This window comes from Homo sapiens, chromosome 11 (assembly GCF_000001405.40).
Source record: "Homo sapiens chromosome 11, GRCh38.p14 Primary Assembly".
NCBI lineage: Eukaryota > Metazoa > Chordata > Mammalia > Primates > Hominidae > Homo > Homo sapiens.
In genome coordinates, this window is record NC_000011.10 from 30,587,518 (window position 1) to 30,614,446 (window position 26,929).

At 35.3% G+C, this 26,929-nt stretch overlaps 1 long non-coding RNA gene across 1 annotated transcript in view; it reads left to right on the forward strand.

Annotated features, from left to right (window-relative positions):
* The window catches only part of MPPED2-AS1 (MPPED2 antisense RNA 1), a 49,179-nt gene that overhangs the window by 3,368 nt on the left and 18,882 nt on the right, over nucleotides 1-26,929 (forward strand). The window contains exons 2-3 of the long non-coding RNA NR_183760.1: nucleotides 4,919-5,038; nucleotides 9,689-9,761. This is a non-coding gene — a long non-coding RNA (MPPED2 antisense RNA 1). The remainder of the gene's footprint in view (nucleotides 1-4,918; nucleotides 5,039-9,688; nucleotides 9,762-26,929) is intronic.

Sequence of the window (26,929 nt, forward strand, 5' to 3'; positions counted from 1 at the left end):
GCTGAAATTATACCCCCTAAAAATAAAAAGGAGCCATTGCAACCTGGTCTGTGGCCTCTGTGCTGAGACTAATTGGTTTCCAGGGTCTGGGGAGGAAGGGAGAGAGGCTTGTAGGAGCCCCTATAAAAAAAGATCAAACGGAATTCACTTGAAAATATTTCCCTTTTACAATGGGCTTTCCTGGCACTTGAATTTTAAGTAACCCATCTCTTATGCCTAGGCTGAAATGAAAAGGGAAATGGTCTTACTAATGTATTTATTTTATTTTACAGCATGCCCAGAGTGTCAGTGCTTGTCAAATGTGCTGGGGTGGAAAGGACAGTGTCTTTCCTTGCCCAGCACAAATCAGAACAAGTGACATTGACATTAAAGGATGCCAAAGATGGGGGCATAGAGGCACCTTTAAATTTTGTTTTCTTTTGTTTTCTAGCCCATCAGCGAACACTGACTAGAATCACGTTTTTGAAGAAATGCTTGGTTTTGTTTCCTTTACTCTGTGACTGAGTACTACATTCCTCATATCTTAATAGTTTGAATTTTTAGACTGATTTGGGCTGATTTAATCAGTTCAAAAAAAAAAAAGCATCACCAGCCAAATAATTTCTGTGGTTTCCTTCTTTAAAAAAAATTGCAGTCAAACAAAACAGACAAACTAGTTTGAACATGATTCTGAATCTAAATATGTGCACCCAGACAGTAAATAATAATGCTTTCTACTTTAGTGGTACATTTTACAGGATACTTAATGCCATAAAAAATCAAGTGGGTTATCCATTACAAAGTTGATGGAAATTTGTATACCATTTTACTGAGTGGGGAAAATTGAGGTAAAAAGGCTTAAAATTGTAATTTGTAGTGCTGGAAGAAGTCAACCTGCTGATAGATCAATTATCCAATAGTGACCAAGTTATATTTGGATTATGAAATTTTATTTTCATTAGGCTACTAGCAAGCTGGAGATATGAAAATGAATTTAAATAATAAACCAGGAACAAAAAGACACTCACTTTTCAAATAATTCTCTTTACGTGGATTTGAACATATTGCATTTTGTTAAATCATATTGTCTACAAATACAGCTACCTACACTAAAAGCTTAATTTAAAATTATTGGATGTGAACCATGTCTATCCCATCTCCCATATAAGCTTTGAAATGTTACCTCATTATATCAAATTTTAAATCCTATAAGCTTCAGCTTTTTTTTAAAGATAAGTGAGTCTATAAGTTCCATTTTCGTTGTTGTTGTTAAATTCAACTTTTATTGTGTATAATGGAAAAGAAAAGAAGGATGAAAATCAAATACTAAGTTTATGATTGGCTTCAAGGAAATATTACAATTTTTTTCTTTTAATGGAATTCAAAGCTGGACCCTTTCCCCAGTGATTTCATTGAAGGAACTGGTAAATATGCTTCCTGATAGCCCACTGCAATACCTTTTAAATTATCTTTTCAGAATGCATTTAGGAAAGAAAATGAGAAAGAGGAGCGTGGGAGAACTTTGGGTGGAAGCTTGGAAAGAAAATGATGCTTCCCTTGAAAGCTCAATACTTTATTTGGAGTTGGCTTTCATCTTCCCTATGAGAACAGGTTTTCCTGTACTTCAGAGATGTGTATGACTTAAAACTTGGTTCAATACTGTGGTTCTTCTTCTAAAAAGCAATCCATTGAAATTACTGCATGTTATTGAATAATTTCATTGAAATGATATGTACCAGTCTAACTGCAGGAACAAACAGCAACTATTTTATTTCTTTTTTTCTGTAAGTTGTAAGCATTTCTATCATTTTACAGCAAAGGCTAAGATGTATATTATCAGAAATCAGAGCCTCTTAATAGAACTACCACTATGATGTAATTAGAAAATAAAACTCAACAAACTATTTTATTTTTCTGAATTCTCACAGTTCTTATGTTCATTCAAATGTTTTTATTATGACCCCTCCAAGTTGAATAACAATGTCCTATATTTCTTTGAGTTCTTTATCTTTATGTTGGAAATAGTTGTTAAATGACTGTGTGGGTCAATAAATGAGAAAGTAAAGAAGAGAACACACCAGTGAATGAGGCAAATACAGAATTAAGAAAAATCCACACCAGATCTGTGGGAGAGGAAGTGATGTCATGAGGCAGTGTTGTAGGATAAGAGCTAAGGACTTCCCAAGGAGTTAAAATAGCACATTTTAAAGGTCTTGCTAATGCCTTTAGAAATATGGAATAATCCTAAGACTGTTTTACAAATTAATTTTCTTATAGAGAGACAAGCTTGTTATGTATCATGTCCATTTAAAGGCAGCCCTCTTTTTAAATACAGCAGGATGCCACAATAAAAAGAATTCCAAGTAAAACTTGTTCCTTAAAATGTACAGAAATGTATCAAGCCATTCTCAAAAGAAACTTATATAATTAATCTAATTCCTTGATTGATCCTTTTTGAAATCCTCAAAATAAATATATGATTTTTTTTCAAGGGTGGTACTTTGTATTGAAAATTTTCTTTGGTTAACCAGTAAAAATGTTTATGGGTCAAAAAAAAAAAAAGAATCAGGAAACACTAGAACTGATCAAATTTCATTTCATAAAATAAATGTCATGCTCATTATCATCTTAGAAAGGCTAAATTTAATTCAGTTTTGCCTGCAGCTTAAGTAGCAAGCATTGGGGAAGAATCTTAAAATTTAGCAAAACACTCACAAATTCTTAACATACTTACTAGCCAATATCTAGCATGTATCAAGAAATCAGATGAAAATTATTTATGCAATAATTAATTTTAAAAGTCTGAACATGATACTGAGTCTGGATTCATGTGTTCTTAGTGTTAGTAACCATTCTAACAGACATCCATAATCTCTGTGTTGACCTAAAGGGAATAGGCTATGGCACAAAATATAATTTAAAGAGTTTACTTGAGCCAAAGTGTGAGGACAACTGCCTGGAAGATTCACACCCAGGTAACATTGGATATGAGCTTCCTTTGGCCTTTGTTACAAGCAAATTTTTAAAGCCAAATATGGGGGACAGGGAGTAGGCTGACACAAAGTTCTCTGTAAAGAATTCTCATTGGTTTACAGAAAAGCATTGATTAGTGGTTGGCTAGACATTGTTAAGCTATAGGCTGTGAGTTATAGTTTCCAGTGCAGCATTATTAGTTAATTTATAGCTGCTAGGGACAATAACAAGCTATTTCAAGAGATGAATACATAGCTCAAAAGCTGGGGGTTAGGATGGACTTGCTGTCTCATTTTAATGTCTTTCTAGGCCTGATAATTTAAAAGGACTCACATTCCTCAATAAAAGTTCTTTTCTCATTTTAAATCAATTAATGCTTGCTGAGTCTTTCCCCATGTCATGGTCCCAATTTTGGGAAAATGGTAAAATTTTGTCGTACTTGGGATAGGCTTGTCATGGTGGAAAAGAGCTTTCTCATTGAAGTAAACTCAAAATAATCTCTCTTGAAAGATGAGCAGTATAGAAACCCCATTAAAACCTGGTAAAGAAAAGGTATGTGAGCATTTCCAAGTTTAATAATTCAATTTGGCAATCTAGCATAAGATATCTGTATTTCAAGAAAGCAATATATAATGTAACTTTCTTTCTCAGCAAAAATAAATCAATGAATGGATACAATTTTTTAAAACTGAGTTTGAGAGACCAGCAGAATATAAAACCTTTTTCTCACTATATTATTAATGTAATGGCTTGATTCAGTATTCAACAAATATTTTTAAGCTCTGCTCTGTGTGGGGCATAGTTCTTAAACCATGCTTATGGTCTAATGATGTAAAAAAAGCAGAGTTCTTTCCACATTATTAAGTATACAATCTCAGGGGGATGGGAGACAGTGACTTAAAGCATCACATAAATGAATGCAAATTATGGCTGTGTAAAGGAGAGGCCCCTCGTGCAAAGAAAACAAAGCAGGGAAACCTTTTCTCCTCTGGGGTTGAGTGAAGACCTTCCTAGTGGAGGAAAGGAATATAAAGAGGTCGCAGGAAAAAGAGAAGCCAGTGTGGCCAGGTACTGAGAGTGAAGATTTGTATGGTGCAAGAAGTGTCTGGGATTCATCTGGATGTGTAGGTAGAGGCCAGAACCACAAGGTCATGCCAAAGATATTTGAAGGTCACAGTAAGGCCCTGTTTAAGATGTTTGATATTATCCTGAGGGCAACGGGAAGCTGTTTAAAAAATTCAACTGGAAAGGGTAACATGATTAGATTAGTATTTTGAAAAGATCATTCACCCCATTTTGTAAAACGGATTTTAGGGAACTAGACTGAACACAGGGAGACCTTTGGGAGCTATTGCTGTCACTGGGTTGGAGTTGATGGTAGCCTTAGCCAGGACAGTTTTGGAGTAGAAGATGATACCTAGAGAGAAATGAATAGAAGAGATTTGAATACATTTTACATAAGAGCAACAAAGATTACTGGAATCTGGAACTACTGGCTAACAGCACTGTGGTACCCAGCCAGAGAGGTTGAGAGCCATAATCACCTAATGATTTTCTGAAGCATCTAATTCCACACACACTCCAGCCTCCCTATGTCTCTAAGCCATCTTCATCCTATCCTTTACACACTTCTTGGGATTCTGTGTTTCACGAAGAATTGTGGCATTAAATACAGCACTGGTATAAAATGTCACTAACTTTATTCAGACTTACAGATCCTAGAACTCACTTTATCCTCCTTTCAATGCCCCACACCTATTTTTGGCACACAAACAAACTTGTTCTTATTTCATATGAGATGTAATTGCAAGAGGCAAGTGTATTTGTGTTTTTCCTTAAAGTTTTTGAATGCTACATCACTTCCATATCTGTCCTCATCAGTACCAGTTTAATATAATTGAACTGCTTAATATTCCATGTACTATTCTAAGAGATCCTTAACAAAAGTGGTCGCTTTTTTATTCAGATCTTCAAAGAAAGAGATATCCTTTCGAGGCAACACAAGAAGCCAACTACAAATGAGAATATTATTCTCTTGGTGCAGGGATTGTTGCATGTGGACCCCATCAGCCTTGAAAAGTCCATGGTAAGGATGATACTCCAGTGGCTGTTTCCTTATGGATACAAGCTAAGTTACTATGGCCCTGCTCAGCAACTCAGACTGCTAAGGAAAGATGTGATAGAAATATGTTCAGAAATTTTAAGACTAATATATGACAACTATATTTTCTGACTTTATTCCTTTCTTGATATTTCTGCATTTTGAAAGTTCTATCAATTTCTTCTTCTGTTCTCATTACTCCCCATAGTGACCAACTGTAAACAAAGTAAAATCTACACACAAGAGAACAGTTCAATAGCCAAGATCTAGGGCACACGTTCTACTAGATGCATAAAATAAAAGGAAGGTTTACTGGAGAGCAGTTGAAAAAAAAAATCACAGTGCTACATCCAAATCCCTATTTCATGCTTTAGTACAAAGGGAACTTTAAAAAGATTTTTTTTCTTTTCAAAAGCACTCTATTGATTGTTTTGTGAAAAACTGGAAAATACAGACAAGCAAAATATAAAAAAATAGAAATTAACCATAATTATGTCACTCAGAAATATCCACTGTTAACATTTTGTAATGTAGTTTTTCAGTCAAATGTATTTCACAGAAATGGAACAATAGTGGAATATCAAAAGCAGAGAAAGGTTTGAATCCCATCTCTGCCTCGTAGTACCTGCGTGACCTCGGATAAGTTACTTAAGCCCTCTATGTCTTGGTTTCCTCATTTGTAAAAGAGAAATATTAAAGTTATCTACTTCATGGAGTTGTTACAAAAATTAAGTTGATATTTTTAAAGTACTTAGAATAATGTCTGATACATATCAATTATTATACAGTGTTATAATCCACTTAAAAATTTTAATACACAGTCATTGTAAATAAATTAAATACAGAAGTAATTAAGAAGTAAAAGTTACCCCTCTTTCTTCGTCATATCCCATCCCCTAGGTAGCCTGTATTTTCAACCGAATAAAACACTGAACATCTTCCCACGTTGTTACACATCTTTTTATGATTTCTTATGATTCCATCTTTTTATGAATCTAACTTTCATTTAAAAAGTGCTATGAATGTCATGAGTTCAGAATAACCCAACAGTCTATATTGCATTTCAGGATATTGCACACATGCTATAATCATAGAGATTACTTTAAAAGATTCAGTAATTCTAAAGCATATTAAGAAAACTCTTCTGATATTCATATTTTGGAGTTTGATTGAGTTGATGTTTGAAAGAGGAAAAGCTTTTCATTTAGTTTCCCATGAGTTTAGCACTGATTATATTAGTTCTTTTCCTTTAAGGCATAAACAGTGTTCTAAAAAACAAATTGAAGATAATATGTTTTGCCAGCTATAGACAGTTTTTATTTACGCTGTTTAAAGTCATAAGCAAAACAAGTTGAAAGTTTGTTGAAAAATGGTGACTGATATTTAAACTTTATCAACAATTATTGATATAAAACTTATTTGCATGCTTCAGAATTATCTGGAGTTTACTATGGGCCCTAATCTGTGGCATTTGACAATGGGAGCTTCAAGACGTGACAGACAGAACACAGAAAAGTTGTAGAATTTAAGAGAGAAGGGATTTTAGAATTCTTTTGAACTTGGCAGTTCTTTGGCAAATTGTATGGCTGCTGCTTTTCCATTAACTGGGATATGAACTGTATGGAAGTATATACAGCCATTGTTCATCTTATCATAACATTTGCACATCGAAACTAAATAGTTTGCCATAATCCTGAAACTTCACCATAGACCCAGGCTAATCCAGTTAAACAAATATGGTGTGTTTGGTTGTTAGGGGGTTGGCCTGGTGGGTTATAAACTTTTCATTTTAGAAAAGGCTATAGTAAGAGAAAAATGTAATCTACAGCAGCTATTATCTGGTATCTGAATTCACTTGTTGGCAAATTGGTCCTTGCATGTCTTTGAGGCATATGGAAATTGATGATGAAAGTGTCTAGTGTAACTAGAAATATGATTTGATGAAAACTGAAGCAGTGAACTGTGAGAAACTGTTAAACCAGTGTCATCAAACAGTGCTTCAAAAATAATGAAACAGGAATACTAGTCCTTTACGAGTAATATTGGGTAAAAAATGAGAAAAGCACATGGTGTGCACACAAAGTTTAAATATATGAGGTAATGTTTTTTAATTACTATTATTATAAAGACCACTCAAAAATTCTACACCCAGACTCCTTTCCATTTATCTCTAAGGAGACAATGACATCACGTCTTCTCTAAATTATTCAGACTCAGGGGATGGAATTGGCTCATTAATAGGGAATGCCATGTTTGGTATTGGCACAGTACTTAAAGCTTCTCTCCACGTTATCCCCAAACTGAAAAGCACATTTCATGGGAGCCAAATGAGTTAAAAAATTTTTCCTCTAGACTTTAAGCACTCAGAAACACATGAGAACAAAAATAGAACTGCACCATAAGGTATAATCATAAAACGTCATAGAAGGAAAAACTTAAGAAGCAAAAAACACTCCAGTCATCTGAAGGCTAGCAGTTCGTGAAGTCATTAAAAGTCATTCCATACGGGCTGAGTTTGAGGAAAAGTCAGAGGTTGCTTTGTTCTTGACTCTGAGTGAAATCAAAACCTACCCAGACTCTATACAAAGGCAACGGCAGCCTGCCTTTCTCTTGCTGGGTATATGCTACTAAACACACGTAAATGACTAGTGTTCAGAAAAGTCTGTGATTCTGTTCATATTAATCCATGTCGCAGGCTGGCAAAATGCCTAAGTACAATCAAAGAAGGGGGTAGAAGCCTGCCTTTTCAAACAGGCTAGAAAATTTGTACCAAAAGATCACAGGGCAACAGAGACAGCTGGAAAAATTGGAGCTGGGGCTCTGATTTTTGTGCCAGTGTTACACCTAATGCAAAGGGAATGCAGATGATAGATTGAGAGTTATGTATGTTGTTTAGTTCACCAGCTCTGTGCTTACACAGAGGCGAAAATGTAACTTTTTTTTAAGTAATATCATAGTAAACATAACATTTAAAACAACCTTACTGTAGCTAAGAATTAACACATCAGAATCTAGCAACAAGTTGCTAATAAAACAAGATAAACACATGCAAAGAATAAAGAGTGAACGGATAGCTCTAAAATTAGTCAATATAAAGATGTTTCACTAATGTCCTTTAATAATCATTTCTTTGGAAAAGTAGTCCCTGCAAGTGTTTTAACACACATAGAATTTTCTGCAAGATAGCTTAAGGTGCTTAGGCCACAAGGGGTTTTCAAATCAAAGGTTGTTGGGACATTTGTGATTCTAAAAAGAACATTGATGATTTTTCTTGGCTTTTAGTAGTGATTTTATTCATAATGTATAATAAAAAACAAGATATTGGGTATAATTCTCTGTATTATTTCTCTGTTTGAATGGACCTTTTCATTCAAGGTGTTATTTAATATAATTTTGTTCAGACGAAGTGTGTCACCCACAACTGAAATACTGTGTATAAAATGGAGATAATTGAAAGTTTTATTGAGATGCTGTTGAAAGTCTCTGGGGTCCGTGCTGATTCAGGCTGCGTTTGCAGGCTTCAACACTCTGTGGCCTTTGACAGGCATGAAGAAAAGCAAGACCAAAACAGTTCTCACAACACAGCTGGTGGTCACAAAGAACAGCTCATGGAGATGTCTGTCACTGAAAAGAGTGGTCTCTGGAAAAGAACCAAAAGTAAAAGAGGTGGAAATGGAGTTAGAAAAAGAGAGATTGAAAGTAGATGAAATATAATATTTGAACACTTAAAGGTAAAAATTAAATCCTGAAAAACACCAGTGGCTAGAATCATAGGCATATATTTTCTTTCTCTCTTTTACCTCCAACAGTGTTATCAATAAAAAGAGTTTGGAAGTACAGGTGGTCAATCAAACAATTAGGTTTTTAAAAATCTTCTAGAACATTCTGATATCTGAGGAAAATTGACTTATAAGTCCCAGAAGGAGGAATGGAATGTTCCTAGAAACAATAAACTTAGTCCCTCACTCCATTATTTTATTTATTTATTTATTTATTTATTTTCATCTTTAATAAAGCAATATCACATTTTACATATTAATTATCTCATCTGATTTTTTTTCTAAACTGTATTGTTGATATTCATGTGCTTTTATGTCAAAATTCTTTTCTTTTTAGGAGAAAAGGATCTTTTGAGGATCTTTAGGAGGATTTTTTGATGACTGACTGATAATATTTTTTGAAATATACATTAATTTAAAATACATACACACATGTCCTGAAGCTTTTTTAGAAAGATTAAAGGACTATAAACACACACAAACATATATGTACGCACACATAAACCCATGCACCCCTAATATGTAAATTCTTCAAACTAGCCTGGTTAAGATAAAATCATAAACTGGGCTTCTATTCTACCATTCTCTCACCACTTTTTTTTTCTGGTATTCCAAATAAACAGCAGGCCCTAAGGGCTCTTTGAAGTCACTAGAGTGTTTAGTTTAGCAATCACTGGTTCATGTAGCTTATCTTTTCCTGGTATTTCTATGTGATTTAATAGTTCCAGCCTGGCCCAGGGAATGAAAACTTCTGGGTCTGTTTCTGGAAGCAATGCACTCCCCATTGCCATCTGTGATAAACCAAATAACCTTTCTCTGCCTCAGCTCTTTGCTTATAATCGTGCCTATTTTGCAGCAATGGAGTGAAACTTGACAAAGCAGTTGCAGTCGTTCACCAGTGAAGCAAAGTCTTCTTCCTAGTCACGCAGGTATGTCTAGTAATTAATTAATTAATGAATAAGTACCAACCTCTCGATGGTGATGTTAATGAAATATCCAACATTAAAGTGGCAATTAATTGTCAAGGGTTTAATAAAACAGATCCTTATTCTATTAGATTGGGATTCTTTAGTTATAAGTAATAGAATCTGACCCTGGCTAAGATCAGCAACAGAAAGTTTACTGAAAATTAACAAGATTACATCAATCAGAAGGCTTGATGTGGTGGGTGAAATTTTCCAAAGATTATCGTACTAGTATATATCCTGTCCCACATGTTCTTCTTACAGTGTGATATTGTCTGTACACCATTGAGAGGTGGGTGAGTTTATGTTCTTTGCCCTTGAACCTGAATGGACTTCTACAGTACTTCAATTAAAAGAGTGGTGCAGAAATGACACGATATAACATCAGAGGCTGGGTCATTTTAAAAAATGATAAGAGTTTCTGTGTTGATCTCTCTTGGGGCACGGATCTTTGGATCCCTGAGCTGCCATTTAAGAAGTCCAGCCACCCTCCAGCGACCATGCTGGATAAGCCATTTAAAATTATGAGAGATGCTCACGGGGCCCCACCTGTTCTGGTCTTCAGCCGTTCGAGTCTTCCCAGTCCAGGCGCCAGACATTTAAGCAAGCCTTCAAGCCCCTGCCTCTGAGCCACCCTATGTGAAAATGAATAGAAGAGAAACAAGCTGCCTCTGCTGAGCTGTCCCTGCTAAAACCCTGCCCCAGAGTGCAGTCTTGAGCAAGACAGATTTTATTATTGTTATTGTTTTAAACCAGTAAGTTGAGAGTGGTTTGTTACACAGCCATAGTAATTGGAACACTTGGGTAGGAAGCAGGAATAAAAGAAGAAAGAGTGAGAAAGCTCGGAATCAAGAACTAGAGAAATATCTCATAGCATTTGTAGTGTTGTTGTGCTACTGCCACCAGGTTGACTCAACTCCAAATGTCTCTTCAATCTTTGTATCACTTGCTTAAGATTCGAAGTCCTGGACAGCATATCCACACACCAAGCTGAGACTGTAAATCTAACTCCTGCTTGTACCTGAGTGATGCAGGGAAGAGTTGGTAGAAAGAGCCCCCAGCAGCTCCAGTGACTCCCCAGTAGGAAGGCATGATTTTCTAGCACCTGGATTTATCACCCCCACTAAGACAATAACATGGAGGGAAGGAAATTCTCAGAAAAGAAATTGGAGTGTTTTTCAGAAGGGCAGATGTAAGTCAGAAAGTAAAAATACCAGTCAGGGTCCACTCAGAACACATTTTATTCTACTTAAATAAGCAATTTTCTATAGTAGTAGTATCCTTGAATACAAATGAATTGCAAGTAAAATGTACCATCTTGTCTGCTAATAGTCTTCAAGATAAAGTAATTCACTGGAGTTAGAAGATATTAGGCTGCTCTGTTTCTTTTTCTTTTTTTTTAAAAATGATCTTTAATAATTTAGTATTTAGCACCCAGTCTATAAAATATTCACAAACATAAGACAAGAGTCTGCAGATTATAAAAATACTTACAGCTGCCTTAAACCTCTTCCAGAACAAAATTGAGGAATAAATAAATAATAAATTAATAAAATACTGAAAAATTTCTCTGGGTCATTGTTTCTCAAACTCTAGTCCTTTTTCATTAGATTTAACCTGTTATCAAATGCTGTGGCCCAACACACACATACAGAATTGCCTCAATCATTTTCAATCAAATAAGCTGCTCAGCTTCTTGTAAATGCTAATAAGACTCACTGATTGCTGGACCACATTGGAGGTTTACAGCATTTGATTGAATTGAAAGGCCATTGATCCAGTGGCCTCATAGATAGAAAATGTAAAGAATAATTTTTCTTTATTGTCATTGTGCATTCAAGTTTGAATTTGCCTTAGTTATTTAACAGGAGACATTGCTCCCTTTTAAATGATAGTATAAGCAGCAGTGGCAAAATGATTCTTCATCATTGAGATTTCTCTATGATATTAAACAGGAGAAATAAAGAGTTTTAAAAACCATGATGCCCTTTTATTTGTAGAAAAAACAGCTTTAGAAGACTTATGATTTTCCTAAGTATTTCAATCAGATTACATACATTTAGATCAATATGTACTGAAACAATACACCCTTGCTAAGAAAGTTTATTATTGCACATGCATAGGATAGACTTGGGAATAGAACAAAATGTGACGTATTCATGCCAATATGGGAAGTCTTATATAGTTTCAGACTTTGTTAGTGAAATTATAAGATATATATATGTTTTAATTATATATATCTTATAATTATCTCTCATATGATTTATATATCATGTTTTATATCCTTATATCTGATATATATATATCTTAACAGCATTAAGAGTGAAAAGACCACTATCGTTGGACAGTCTCTTACTGTTGTTCTTTCAGTATTTTGTAAAAGCAAGATTTCTCAACTTCAGCACTATTGAAAATATTTTGTTGTAGGAACTGGCTTGTGCATTGTAGGATATTTGACCTCTACCCACTAGATGCTAGTAGCACCCCCCCAGTCTTTTTATTAAATTGGGGTCATAGATATAAAATATAAAATTTTCCATTTAATAATTTTTAGTATGCAGTTCACTCAGTTCAGTGGCATTAAATGCATTCAAATTGTTGTGCAATCATCACCACCAGCCATCTCTAGAACATTTTTATTTTTCCAAACTGAAACTACTCTATACATGTTTAAACAATAACTTCTCATTTCCTCCTACTTGCAGCCCCTGGTAACTACCATCCTACTTTCTGTCACTATGAATTTGATACTCTAGGTACCTCATGTAAGTGAAATCATACAATATTCGTCCTTTAGTGACTGATTTATTTCACTAAGCATAATGTTTTCAAGGTTTATTCATCTTGTAGCATGTGTCAGAACTTCCTTTTTATAGCTGAATAATATTCCATTGTATATATATCCCACATTTTGTTTATCCATTCATCTGAAAATGGACACTTGAGTTCTTCCACCTTTTGGTTATTGTGAAAAATATGGCTATGAACATGGGTATACAAATATCTGCTTGAATTCCTACTATCAATTCTCTTGGGTATTTACCTAGAAGTGAAATTGCTGGAAGATATGGTAATTCTCTGTTTTCTCCTTTGAGGCATGTAACCCCAGTCTTGACAACAAAGAATATCTTCAGACACTGCCAAATGTACCCTTGGGGTCAAAATGGCTCCCAATTAAGAACCAGTTGTCTGAAGTAACAAACTTTTGAACAATGGTGTTACCACAATCCTGGATTTTTGGTTTAGAAGAGACATTTGATGAGTTGAGTGAATCATCTCTGCCTACTCTCTGAGGCTTGTATTTGACGACCAGAAGTGCTTGGGAAGTCAATCACCCATAGGGCCACCTCAATCTTGTCCCATCAATTCTTCATTCCTTAATCTCTTTTAGTCTACTGGTTCACTCTTATCATGCTACAAACGTTTGTGCCTCTGTATCTTCTACCTTCTAGTCACCAACAGACATCTTAACATGCTAATCTATAAAATTTCACCTCCCAATAATGGATTCTTCAATCAATTAACACCTGAAACTGCTTTATATATAGTCACCTAGATTTGATCACACACTTTCTTTTATCTTTTTGTTTGACCTAGTCATGGCAGGACAAGTTTAGGAGTCATGACTCCTAGATTTGAGTCCTGGTTCTACCATGTGTTAGCTGTGTAAACTTACATGATTACTTAAACTCTCAGGCTGTCTGATAGAACTTTCTGTAATGATGTTCTATGTTTTATAATTTGAGCTGAAAAATACAGTAGCTGCTGTTGAGCACTTAGAATTGGCCTGTGTAACTCAGAGACTGAATATTAAATTGTATTTAAATTAAATTAAATTGAAATGTTAATACCCACATGTGGTGATATGGTTTGGCTGTGCTACTACCCAAATCTCATCTTGAATTGTAGTTCCCATAATCCCCATATGTTGTGAGACGGACCTTGAGGGAGGTGATTAGATTAGAGAGATGGTTCCCCCATGCTGTTCTCATGGTAGTGAGCGAGTTCTCACGAGATTTGATGGTTTTATAAGGGACTTTTCCTCCCTTCACTTGGCACTTCTCCTTCCTGCCATCATGTGAAGAAGGACATGTTTGCTTCCCCTCCCACCATGATTGTAAGTTTCCTGAGGTCTCTCCAGCCTTGTGGAACTGTGAGTCAATTAAACCTCTTTCCTTTACAAATTACCCAATCTCCAAAATTTCTTTATAGCAGTGTAAGAACAGACTAATACATGTGGCTAATGGTTACTTTTTGGATAGTGCATATCTAAGAATCAGTTTTCTCATCTATAAAATAATGACAATGATAATATTTGCCTCCAGGGATAGTTTGAGAATTAAATGAGATAATGTATGTAAAGTACTTAGTTTACTACTTGGAACAGCAAAAGAACCTGGTAAATATCAGCAATAAACTTAACTAGCTTTATAGGCAACTTACTTCACCCTCTGAAACTCAGTTGTTGCTTTTGTTTTTTAATCTAACGCTATGTAAGATCCTCTGAGTAATGGTGTATCTAATGATTTAGGTCTGCCATAAGACTCATGTGTAGGATGCATAATAAGGGTTCCATAACGAGGATCATAGGACAGCTTTTGTTTGGGGGATGGATTTTTAAAATCTTATTTGACCTCAATTTCAAAGCTCTTGGAGTTATGAAAGTTTAAATGTCTAAGACAATAAAAGAAAATACAGGGTGACCAAAAGAAACTTTGAGTAAACTAAAAATATTACTCTATACCAAAAGCTTTCTAATTTGGATATCAAAGCAAGCGTGAAGGTTTGTTGAGTTGATTTTGTCGTGTGTTAAAGTTTCTGATATTCTAGTCTCACTGTATCCAATAGCCTGCCTCTTTCCCTTAAGAAAAATGAGAGTTGCCATGAACTGAGTGCCTATGATATGCATAGTACTCTCCTGGTTATTACTGCTTATCTACAATTTTGCAAAGTAGGTATTGTTATCCCTATTGTGAAAGTTGGGAAACTGAGCCTTGGGAAAATTAAATGAGTTGTCCAAGGTCACATGACTAAAAGTAGAACCCTGCCTTACCTGGCTCTAAAGTTTGCCATCTGTCTACTACAGCACATTGCACCTCTTTAGGTGAGTATATTGAAACTATAATAGCTGCCCAATAATTAGATTATCCAATTAGTTTATAAGTTTGGCTTCATCTGAATCCACATAATTAATTTTTCTGAGTTCTTTCCAAAGCTGTTGTCAAGTATTATGAGTGTGTTTATTTGTATGTTTGGGAAAGTTCTGCTGTGAAGGATAGAAAACAAATTACTAAGATACAGCTATCACTTTTATAGCTAACATTTGTTGGTAATTAATCAAAACTAGGCTCTAAGTGCTTCACCTGGAATATCACTGTTAGTCCTTTTAACCCAATCCCATACGTGCCATTTTTACATTAATTTTATTGAAAAGTAAACTGGGGCACAGAGGACAAATAATTCATCTCAGATTACCCAACTGCAACCAGGATTTGGATCCAGATACTGTGTCACCAGCATCCAAGTTCAAAACTACTACACCATGTTACCTGCTGGTAGTACTAACATGAGGATTGAGCACTGGTCAGTACTTGTGTGTGTGCATTGGGCATACAGATTTCTTTAGCAGCATCCTTATCATAACCTTTCATACTCTTTTTGTTGCCTCCTTTGTAATATTCCTGCTATTACATTACTGTCCTCTAGTTGACTTTCTGTTCCAGTCTCTTTTATCTTCTGCCAATTTTACTACTGGGATACTAGGTAACATTAGAAAGTGTAGAGTTTTTTTTGTCAAAAAAGGAAAAAAGACTCTTTATTGACAAGAGTAATGAGCTTTCAGAGCACCTGGCATAAAAAATGATTTTGTGAATTAAATAAGTAAACAAGTCCAAATCTCAGTTACTTCTTTATTTTGCCACTATAGTTTGAAATGGTAAGAGCAGCTACGTTGTACTGAAGCTCCAATATTTTATGTTCTGTTAAGAGAGTTTAGTTCCAAAAGAGAATTTATGTGATTTTTTGCTTTTAGAAAAACTGCAATTCTCAGGACTACAATATTTAAGGGTATTAATGAGAAATATCCAAGGGAAACACTAATCATTTGAGGGGAAAATACATTTTCTATGTCAAGCAAAAAATATTCCAGTGTTGTCAGTGAGCCAAATTATGAGAATTATTCAGAGACCTTTTTTTTATAGCACTTACCAGAGCAGTTAGGATAATCTATGCCCTATTGCATCATAAGGTACGTTCAGGATTTGGCATTTAAGTATGATACATGCTAAATTGAAAATATGCACTTGTTAAAAAAAGAGAGTAAGAGGATTCAATGTGTGGTTTTTCACCTGTCAGGGGTTATCGGAAGCTGTAATTCAGGAAAAAATGAAAGGAAAAGATATAGGTTGCCCAATAGATTAACACTACTTAGTGAACTTTTAACCACCTTCAGTGGGGTTTTCATTTGACAGGCAAAGAAGTGATATACTTTGACGACAACAATCATGGAATCCACCATAAAGGTATTTGAACAGTTCCAGAATGTGTACAGGTCACTAAGATATGCAAAAAAAAAAAATCCAAAAAAAAAAAAGAGCTAACCTTAATTGTTTCTATTCTTTCAATACTGCCAACCCAGAAATAATAGAATAATGAGTTGGATGCTACATGCTGAACGACATCATTTTTAAGTTTGTATGAGAATTTACATTTATCTTAACAAACTGCCTTGGGGACATGCTTTGAGGCTCTATAAACTATAAGTCTCTATGTTTCTGTAAACTATGAGGAGCTTTCATCAGGGAGGAAATTATATATAATAGGCAATATGAATGATATTTTTATCTGATGTCGACATTGCAAGAAATGTGTTGATTCTAATAGAGTGAATCATATGAAACTGTCAATATTTGACTGTTTTTGATCTACAAAATGTCGATTTCATGTGGTTCAATCTAATATTTTAAGGTGTGAGTAAACCACAAAGCAAAAATGTTATTTTTGGGCTTCTAACAGTAACTGGGATTGCATTGGAATTTGTTCAAGCTTAAAGAAGCTAGGATGATTTGAACATTTTTATTTCAAGAATGTATTTCAAAGTGATAGACTGAAAAATAAATAGAATTTAAAGTGTACTCTGACATTCTTATTATATCAAATTTGTTCAACACAGCAGACACTTTCAAAATTATCAGAAACCTAAACAAACAAATCATAAATAGATAATGCAAAACATCTAATGATTGTATTTTCTGTGTCAGTCTGAATTACTATTATGGTAAAGAGGAGCACAGGTGGCTTTTCCTTTTTAGAAACTCTACAGCCATACAAAGGATCCTTGCCTGTGTAATAACAGGGAAATGAACGCAGGAAGGAAAAAGGCCGCTGACATTAGGTAATGTTTAAAATCCTGACCCCTTGATTTGGGCATATGGTATTCACTTTATCATTTAACCCATATAGAGACCTTTCCAAGAGTGAAAATAAAATGACTCATTAAAATGAAAATTACAAAAACAAAGGTCAGCTAGTTCCCAGAAATTATAATTAGTAAATAAACAAATTATTCCCTCCCCATTTTTTATTTTGAATTATTTTAAAACTACAGAAAAGTTGTAAAACAATACAATGATTATTCACATACCCCTCACCTAGATTCACCAAAGTACTAACCAATTGTTAGTATTTTGTTATCTCTCTGTCTCTTCCTCTCTCTCTCTCTTAATTGTTCTATTCTGACATTCATAAATAAGCAAAGATATATTTTAAGGATTTTTCAATACTCTTCAAGTCAGGTGTGCATCTCCCCCTGTCCACCAGGTTAACCAACATGTCACAGATTCATAGAATGATTCTGTCATTGGAAAGTACCCAGTTATCTCAGAAACTTACTCCTAATCTAGCCCATTCTGTACCACAGAGTTCTGAAGTTCATTCTTTCAAGAAAGAGGAAGCAGCGATGGTAATTTTATCATTTACCCACAGGGCATGTAGGTGACAGTGATATATTCACTTGGTACCCTCAGTAACAAAACAAAGCTCCAACAAATCAATTTAAAGGGGGAAGGGATTACATTATCTTCCTCCTATCAAGGCAGGGTCTAAGTTTCACAGCAAAACCCTTTAGGGAATTTGTGTGTTCTTCTCACCTTATCTCGTGCCTCTTCTGGAATAACCTGCTAATTGATTTCCTTGCCTCCCATTTACCCCTGCACTCTCTAACTTATCTTGCACACAGCTGCCAGCACAATCTTTAGTAGGAAATCCTACTTCGATCCTGTCATTCTCCTGACCAGAAATGTTCACCAATGTCCTATGTCAAACAGGATACATTTCTGACTTCTTAATCTAGGAGTGATGTTCAGCTGGTATGACTTAGTATGGTTATACCAGTTGTTACAGTGTTGAAATACTTCCATACCACTTGATAAAGAGAAATACTTAACTTACTGACTCTATAAATGACCTAAGAATCTAGCCTAGCATCAGCTTCGACAAAGAGTAATGGGGCTTGGGAATGGTGCTGACATGAAGGTGGCTGGTCAATGGTAATTGCTTAGTAGACAAAGGTAATGGAGGTGGTGCCAGTGGTGGTGGCCTGAGCAGATCCTGACAGGTCCAAGTCAAGATATCATCTTTGTTTTAGGTCTTGCCTTCAGACCATATATTCAGTCTATTAAAAATAAGTAAATAAAGCTGGGTGTGGCGGCTCAAGCCTGTAATCCTAGCACTTTGGGAGGCTGAGGCGGGATGATCACTTGAGGCCAGAAGTTCGAGACCAGCCTGGCCAACATGGTGAAACCCCTTCTCTACTAAAAATGCAAAAATTAGCTGGGCATGGTGGTGTGCACCTGTAGCCCCAGCTATTTGGGAGGCTGAAGCAGGAGAATCGCTTAAACCCAGGAGGCAGAGGTTGCAGTGAGCCGAGATTGTGCCACTGTGCTCTAGCCTGGGCAACAGAATGAAACTCTGTATCAAGAAAAAAAAAAAAGTAAATAAATGAGAAATCTGCCCATTTCTCACCAATAGCACTGGTATAATCTAGTCCAGGCCATCATCAGCTCAGCCTTCACATCAGAAGAGCCTCCTCCTCCTCTGGCCAGCCAGGGTGATCTTAATGCTTAAATCAGAACACACCAGGGCACTGCTGAAAGCAGCAGCTCCTTGAGCACTGTAGATGAATATCCACACTCCCAATCATGGTCTACAATGCCATATGGGCCCTGCCTCCTCTTTGCGTTCATCTTCTACTCTTCCCTTACTCTAGTCACACTGGCTTCATTTCCATTCCTCAGTTATGCCAAACTTGCAGCCCTTTTGGGACCTTTAGCATTTGGTTTCCCTTCTACTTGGAATAAACATCATAAAGCTTGCTTCATGGTTGCCTCCTTCTCATAAGTCAGGTCTCCATTCAAAGTCAGTTCTTCATAGAGGCCTTTCCTCACCAGCCTAGACAGCCTTTATCTCCCCGGTCTCTCTCTACCTCATCACCTTATTTTCTTTATTATATCACAGGCTTATTTTCTATCTTCCTCCACTGGATTCTAAATTTCTAGGAGTTAGGGTTATCTATTTTGTTCATTGCTTTATCCAAACACAAAGAACAGCGCCTGGCCTAACGTGTTTGTTGACTGACTGTCTGATTGACAAAAACACTGAGCACAGTGCCTGGCACTTCATATCTAGGTACCTGTTAGCTATTTTATCGTCACAGTATTCTATGTAGTTATAAATCTGGTAGCCTGTCCTAATCTTTTGGCTTCACCTCTCTTATATTTATATCCCAGCACCAGCACAGTGCTTGGCACTAAACTGATTTAGTGGAATCTAACTTTTTATTATAATAAATTATAATCAACCTGTTATAGACCTTGGACAGAGACTTCTTGGAGTAGCTTTATTCTTTTCTTTCTCTTGGCTTTGACTTTGGGAGTAGAAAGAATCAGATTCCTTATAAAGATGTGTTATAAATTTCTCAAGTTATGCATGTTGTCTATAAAGCAAATGTTGTAAACTGGCAGCCCAGAGGTTCAATATATTGCTGGATGTTATTTGTTTTGCTCAGTGGTGGATTAAAGTTTTTTGAGGGTGCATTTAAAAATCAAAAGAGTTCACAGTTTTTCATAGAAAAAAGAAATCATATTTCAGGTTTTTATTTTAAAGGAAGATCTGGACACAGCGAACTCAATTTCGTGCAACAATTGGCCAAAGCTGAGTAACAGTTGCTCACTTCAACCTGGGCATCAGCCCCTGGGGCTGTCCTAGTTACCACCTATCCTTTCTCATTCATTTGTCATCTGCCTGGATCCCAGGAAGACCTTGAGTTTGTGATTACTATTGTAAAGAAAGTTTCCATAAGGGGCGTAATTTTTTTTTTTTTTTTTTTTTTTTTTTACACCTTGCTGTGTGGAATTAGAATTTTCCCAGCTTTTCCTATCCAGAGTCTTGGTTTCATTTGATAGGATAGGAGTTAAAGAAGAAAATTTGGAAAAAGGCACTAACTTAGATATGAGGGGAAAGAGAGCAGTTAGGAAAGGAGCAAATTCAGGTTTTATGGGATGAGAAGCTTATATAATTTTTTGGATCCCCCTTTTTTTGTGCGTGTGTGTGTGTGTGTTCTCCTGGACTTAACTTTAAAAAAAAAAAATGGCTGGGTGTGGTGGCTCAGGCCTGTAATCCCAGCACTTTGGGAGGCCGAGGAAGGTGGATCACGAAGTCAGGAGTTGGAGACCAGCCTGACCAAGATGATGAAACCCTGTCTCTACTAAAAATACAAAAAATAAAAAATACAAAAATTAGCCAGGCATGGTGGCAGGCGCCTGTAATCCCAGCTACTTGGGAGGCTGAGGCAGGAGAAGCGCTTGAACCCAGGAGGTGGAGGTTGCAGTGAGCTGAGATCACGCCACTGCACTCTAGCCTGGGTGACAGAGCAAGACTTTGTCTCAAAAATAAAAAAAAAAAAAGGAAAAAGAACATATAATTGTAAATTTATAAAAAAAATTACTAGGATCTTTCCCAGGGCCTTGGAAGAGACTGGAGCAAGAGAGGTACCCTGAGGTTTATGAATTATTAGCTCTATTGTAAGTCCACCCCCAACTGGAGTGAGAAAGGAGATGGAAAGCTTTATAAGCAATCGTTTAGACAGTAACATCTGTGCTGTCTGCAATGTCCAACATGAAACTGAAGAACCGATGAAGTTCAATAAAGTTGATAGAGATGGAAGCACATAGGCTTTGTGCCAAAGCATATGTTAATTTTTTTCTTCATTATCCACTTTTTTCTGGATGTAATCCTCTTCTTGGATCTAAGGATTCTTAAATCCTCTGCAGTCTGTTTCCCAGGCTCCTATGTCAGATGCCTTTGGCCAATGGGAGCCACTGGCTGGAGATGAGAGGGTGGGAGAGTTTTTATCCAGACCTCTCTCTCTGGGTGGCATCTTCACAAGCAGCTGCATCTCCTCCTGTTTTTAGGTCTTACTGGATAAACCTTTTATGGATCTAACTTCCAATAGGAGACTTTAGCCTCTGGGCTTTGTTCATGGGCCCCTTCCCTTTATCTCTCCAGCAAAGTGGTAGTAGACATTTCTGGTTGTTGCTAATCTCTGGGTTACCTCACTATTCCCACTTTGACTTTTCTGCTCCTCTGTCAGCAGAGGAGCAAAATGTAATCAATTCCCTGCATTACAATCCTCTTGTTTTAAATACTCAGAGTGGATTATTTTTCTTTTTTCTTCTATTGGACTCTGATGCATTGATTGATGTTGGGACAATTTTGTCTAGCTTTATTCATACATTGTTCTGATGCTTAATTCTATGATCTTACGATTCTTATTAAAAACTGTCATTTTTAATATAAAGTCTTCATGCTTTTGCCACCATGTTCTTTACTTCATGAAGTTGACTGTGCTTGTTGGCTTGTTTGATTATTTAAAAGTATCTTTGAATTACCCAGACTATGACAAACTTAGGTTGTATGAGAGTGATTTTCTTGTACAGATATGCATAGAGCAACCCTTATGAATGAAATATTGAAATACTAAAGTATGTCCCAAACACTATTCTTATAAAGTATGTGAACTTGGTATGGATCTAATATAAAAACATATATTAGATGATGATATAAGTAGTGTTTGATTTTATGAACTTTTTTTATGGAAAATTTCAAAAATATACAAAGTAAATAGAATTGCATAATGAATCCATAGGTTATCATCACCCAGCTTCAACAATTATCAATACTCTGTTATTCTTATTTCACCTATACCTCCATCCAATCCCTACTCCCTCACCAAAATATTATAATTTCTATAGTTTTTTATAGTAAAATTTTACACATGAAAATATACAAATATATATACATATATGTGTATATGTGTGTGTGTGTGTGTGTGTGTGTGTATATATATATTTAATAGAGACAAGGTGTCGCTCTGTCACTCAGGTTAGAGTGCACTGGTGCAATCATAGCTCACTGTAACCTTGAACCTCTGGCCTCAAGAAATCCTCCCATCTCAGGCTCCCAAAGTGCTGGGATCTGCCACACCCAGCCTAAAATAAACAAACCTTAGTTGTACAAGTTTGACTAATGGATGTCCCTGGGTAACCATATCTTTACCATAATACAGAGTTTTCAATCTCCTAAGAAGATTGCCTCCTGTACCCCCCCAGGCAATTCCTATCCTACCCGTGAAGGAACCACATTTCTGATATTTTTTAACCCTTGTATTAGTTTTGCCTCTTTTATAATATATGCAAACATAAAAACATACAACATGCAGTGAAATCAGAAGTATGTACACTTCTGTGTCTGGCTTTATTTGGCCAGCATATCTGTGATACTCATTCATGTTGTGTGTATTAACAATTCACTCCTGTTGGAATTGCACTGTATGGATATACTTTGATTTCTCCAGTTTGCGGATCTGGTAAGTTTCCTGGTTTTGTGTCTTTTGAATAAATTTTTAATGAATATTCTTATACATTTTTTTTGGTGATCATTTTTCTCATGTCTCTCGGATAAGTAGGAGTAGAATTATTGGGTCAAGGGTAGATACTTAACTTCATACTAAACTACTAAAACTTTTTTATAGGTGAATTGCCTTTTTACTTTCCCATCATCAATATATGAGAGTTCCAGTCACGTCACAATGTTGCAAATATTTGGTATTGTCATGCTTTTTATATTTTACCATTCTACTGAGTGTGGAGTTGCACCTCATTGTGATTTGAATTTGCATATTTCTAAGAAGTAATGGTATTGCATACCTTTTTCATTTGCTTCATTCTTTAACTAGTGTTTTCAAGTGCTTTGCCCAATTTTTAAATTGAGTTGTTTGTCTTTTATTATTGAGTGAGTGTAGAAGTTCTTTATATATTCAGAATATGTATCTTATGAATGTATTCTTGGTATGTGTGGCTTGCCTGTATTTTATTTTATTTTGAAGCAGGTCTCACTCTTTCACTCAGGCTGGAGTGTGGTGGCACAATAATGACTCAGCTCACTGCAGCCTTGACCTTCCGGGCTTGGGTGACTCTCCGACCTCAGCCTCCTTAGTAATTGGGACTACAGGTGCATTCCACCACACCTCCCAGCTAGTTTTGTTTTTTGTTTTTGTTTTTGTTTTTTTTGTATTTTTTTGTAGACACAGGGTTTTGCCATATTGCCCAGGCTGGTCTTGAACTCCTGGACTCAAGTGATTGGTCCGCCTCAGCCTCCCAAAGTGCTGAGATTATAAGAGTGAGCCACCACACCCCGACCTGTTTATTTTAAAGAGTAGAATTTGAACAGCAACAACTTTTAATTTTGATGTAGTTTAATTTATTCATATTTTCTTTTACAGATATTGCTCTGTAAATAAATCTTTGTCTACTCCCAAGTTACAAAGATAATCTCTTATATTTTCTTCCCAAAGCTTTGTAGTTTTACTTTTAGATTTTTATCTATAACCCAGCTCAAATTAATTTTCATGTATGGTATGAGATAACGATTGTGGTTTATTCTTTTCCATATGTACACCAGTTGTTCCAGAACAATTTGCTGAACAGTTTTTCTTTCTTCATAGAATTACTTTGGAGCTTTTCTCAAAAAATAACTTATTGCCTAAGTGTAGGCTTATTGCTGGACTCCCCAGTCTGTTCCATTATCTATTTGTCTGTCCTTAGCCAATATGACAAGACTACAGTCTTTATTATGGAAGTTTTAATGTAATTATTTAGTATAGGACCTTCAGTTGTATTCTTTTTTAAAAATTGTTTTGGCTATTATAAATCTTTTGCATTTTAAAATACATTTTAGTATCAGTTTATGAATTTCTATAAAAATGCCTGAAGTGATTTTAAAAGGGACTGTGTTGAAGTTACATATTATGTTAGGGGGAATTTACATCTTAATACTATTGATTCTACAAATCCATAAACATAGTATATCTCTCCATTTATTTAGTACTTCTTTAATGTCTTGGTTTTCACGTAGAAGTTTTTGAATCTTTATTAAATTGATTCTTAATTTATATGTTTTATGCCATGTTAAAACATTCTTTTTCAAATATTTGTTGTGAATAGATATTCATTTGTTTTAAAAAAACTGACTTCATGTTGATGTGTCTGTTGGCTGCATAAATGTCTCTTTTGTGCACATGTACCCTAGAACTTAAAGTATAATAAAAATATGTATATATTGAAAAAAAACTGACTTTATATATGAGACCTTACTAAACTCACTTATTAGTTCTATTAATTTGTTTTCATGGAAACAATTATGTCATCTGCCTACAGAGACAACTTTATTTTTCCTTTCCTTTATTTTTTCCTACACTACTATGTTAAATAAAGGAGTGAAAGCAGACTTACTTTTTTATTTTTTTTTTAATTTTAGGGGAGAAAGCATTCTGTATGTCATTAGCTATGACTTTTTCATAGATGTCTTATATCAGATTGAGGAAGTTTTCTTCTTTTTATTTTTTTATTTTTATTTTTTTTAGAGATGAGGTCTCTCTCTGTTGCTCAGACTGAAGTGCAGTGGTGTGATCATAGCTCACTGCAGCCTCAGACTCTGGGCTTCAAGCAATATTCTCATCTCAGCCTCCCAAGTCATTGGGATAACAGGTGGGAGCCAGCTCTCCCAGCATTTTTGTTCCTCAGTTTGCTGAGAGTTTTTATCAGTAATGAGTGAGAAATTTTGTCAAATGTTTTTTCTACATATATTAAAATGACTGTATGTTTTTCCTTTGTTCAGTTGTATGTAGTATTGTATTTATTAATTTTCAAATGTTAAATCAACCTTGCATTCCTGGGATAAACTCTGCTTGGCTTGATGTGTTACCTTTCTGCATTTTTAAAAATTTCCTCATATATTGTTATTTATTTCATATATTTTCGGGAGACACTTTGATCTACAATTTTTCTTCTTTCTTTACTCTTTTTCTTTCCTTCTTTCTTTTGTTTCCTCTTTCTTCCTTCCTCTCTCTCACTTTCTTTCTTTCTATTGGGATATCAGGATTACTATTGCTTCCTAGAATAAATTTAGAGATGTTTCTTCTTTCTCTATTTTCTGAAATAGTTTGTGGAAGATAAGCATTATTTCTTTCTTAAATATTTGATAGCATTTACCAATGAAAATGTTGAGACTGGAGTGTTTTTGCTTGTTTATTTTTGTGTGTATTTGAGGAAGATTTTGATAACAGATTATTTTCTTAGATAGAAATACGAGTGTCCAAATATCCCATTTTATCATGTTTGCTTCTAAGTTGTGTCTTTTCAAATAATTAGTTGATTTTATTAAAGATGTCAAATGTATTCATATAATATTGTTAATAGTATGCCCTTATTTTCATTTTGATGTCTGAATGGTCTATAGTGGAATCTTTTTTATTATTGATATTGGTATTTTGTATTTTTTCATGATCAATCTTTCTAGGTTTAAATTTTTGTCTTAATACTTTCAAGGAACTAAATTGTTAATTTTGTTGATTTTATTCATTGTTTTCAATTTTATTGATTTCTTCTCTTTACATTTGCTTTTTCCTACTTCATTTAGATTAAATTTTCTTTTTCTTCTAACTTCTTAAGATTGAAAATATAGATAAATAATTGAAGCTTGTCTTTCTTTTTACTATGAACACTTAAAGCTATAAACTTCCCTATAAGCATTGTTTTAATTGCATCTTGTCATTTCTGATGTGCTAAATTTCATTATCATTCAGTTAGAAACATTTTAAAATTTCCTTTTGATTTCTTTCTTTGTTGACCCATGAATTGTTGAGAACTATGTTATTTAATTTCCAAGTATGTGAGACTCTCCAAATATCTTGTTGTTACTTAATTCTACTGTGGTGAGAAAATATACTCTATAAACTCTACACTTAATCTTTTGAAACTTATTTATTAAAATATTATTAGATTTTATATTTTTTGACATATAAAAATCGGTGTGTATTCAAGGTATACAACTTGATGAGTTTGGGGATAAGTATACATTCATGAAACCATTACCACCATGAAAGTCATACACATATTCATCACCTCCCGAAGCTTCCTCTCATGCCTTTTATTACTGTTATTTTTGTGGATGTGGTAACAACATAACAACTCTTTATTTGTCTTAACAAATTTGAAGTATGTAATACAGTATTGTCAGCTAGCTATAGGCACTATGCTGCATAGTAAACCCTTTTTTTTTTTTTGAGATGGAGTCTTGCTCTGTCACCTGGGCTTGAGTGCGGTGACAAGATCTCGCCTCATGGCAACCTCCATCTCGCCTCCCAGGTTCAAGCGATTCTCCTGCCTCGGCCTCCCAAGTAGCTGTGATTACAGGCAGCTGCCACCACGCATCGCTAATATTTTTGTATTTTTAGTAGAGACAGGATTTCACTATTTTGGCCCGGCTGGTCTCGAACTCCTGACCTTATGATCCCCCTGCCTGGGCCTCCCAAAGTGCTGGGATTACAGGCATGAGCCACCATGCCTGGCCGCCGCATAGTAAACCTTTAGAACTTATCTTGCATAACTGAAACTTTATCCTTTGACCATCACCTCCCTGTTTTCCCCTCCCCCTTACCCCTAGCAAACACTATTCTACTCTCTGTTTCTATGAGTGTGATTATTTTAAGTCCCATATATAAATGACATCATATAGTA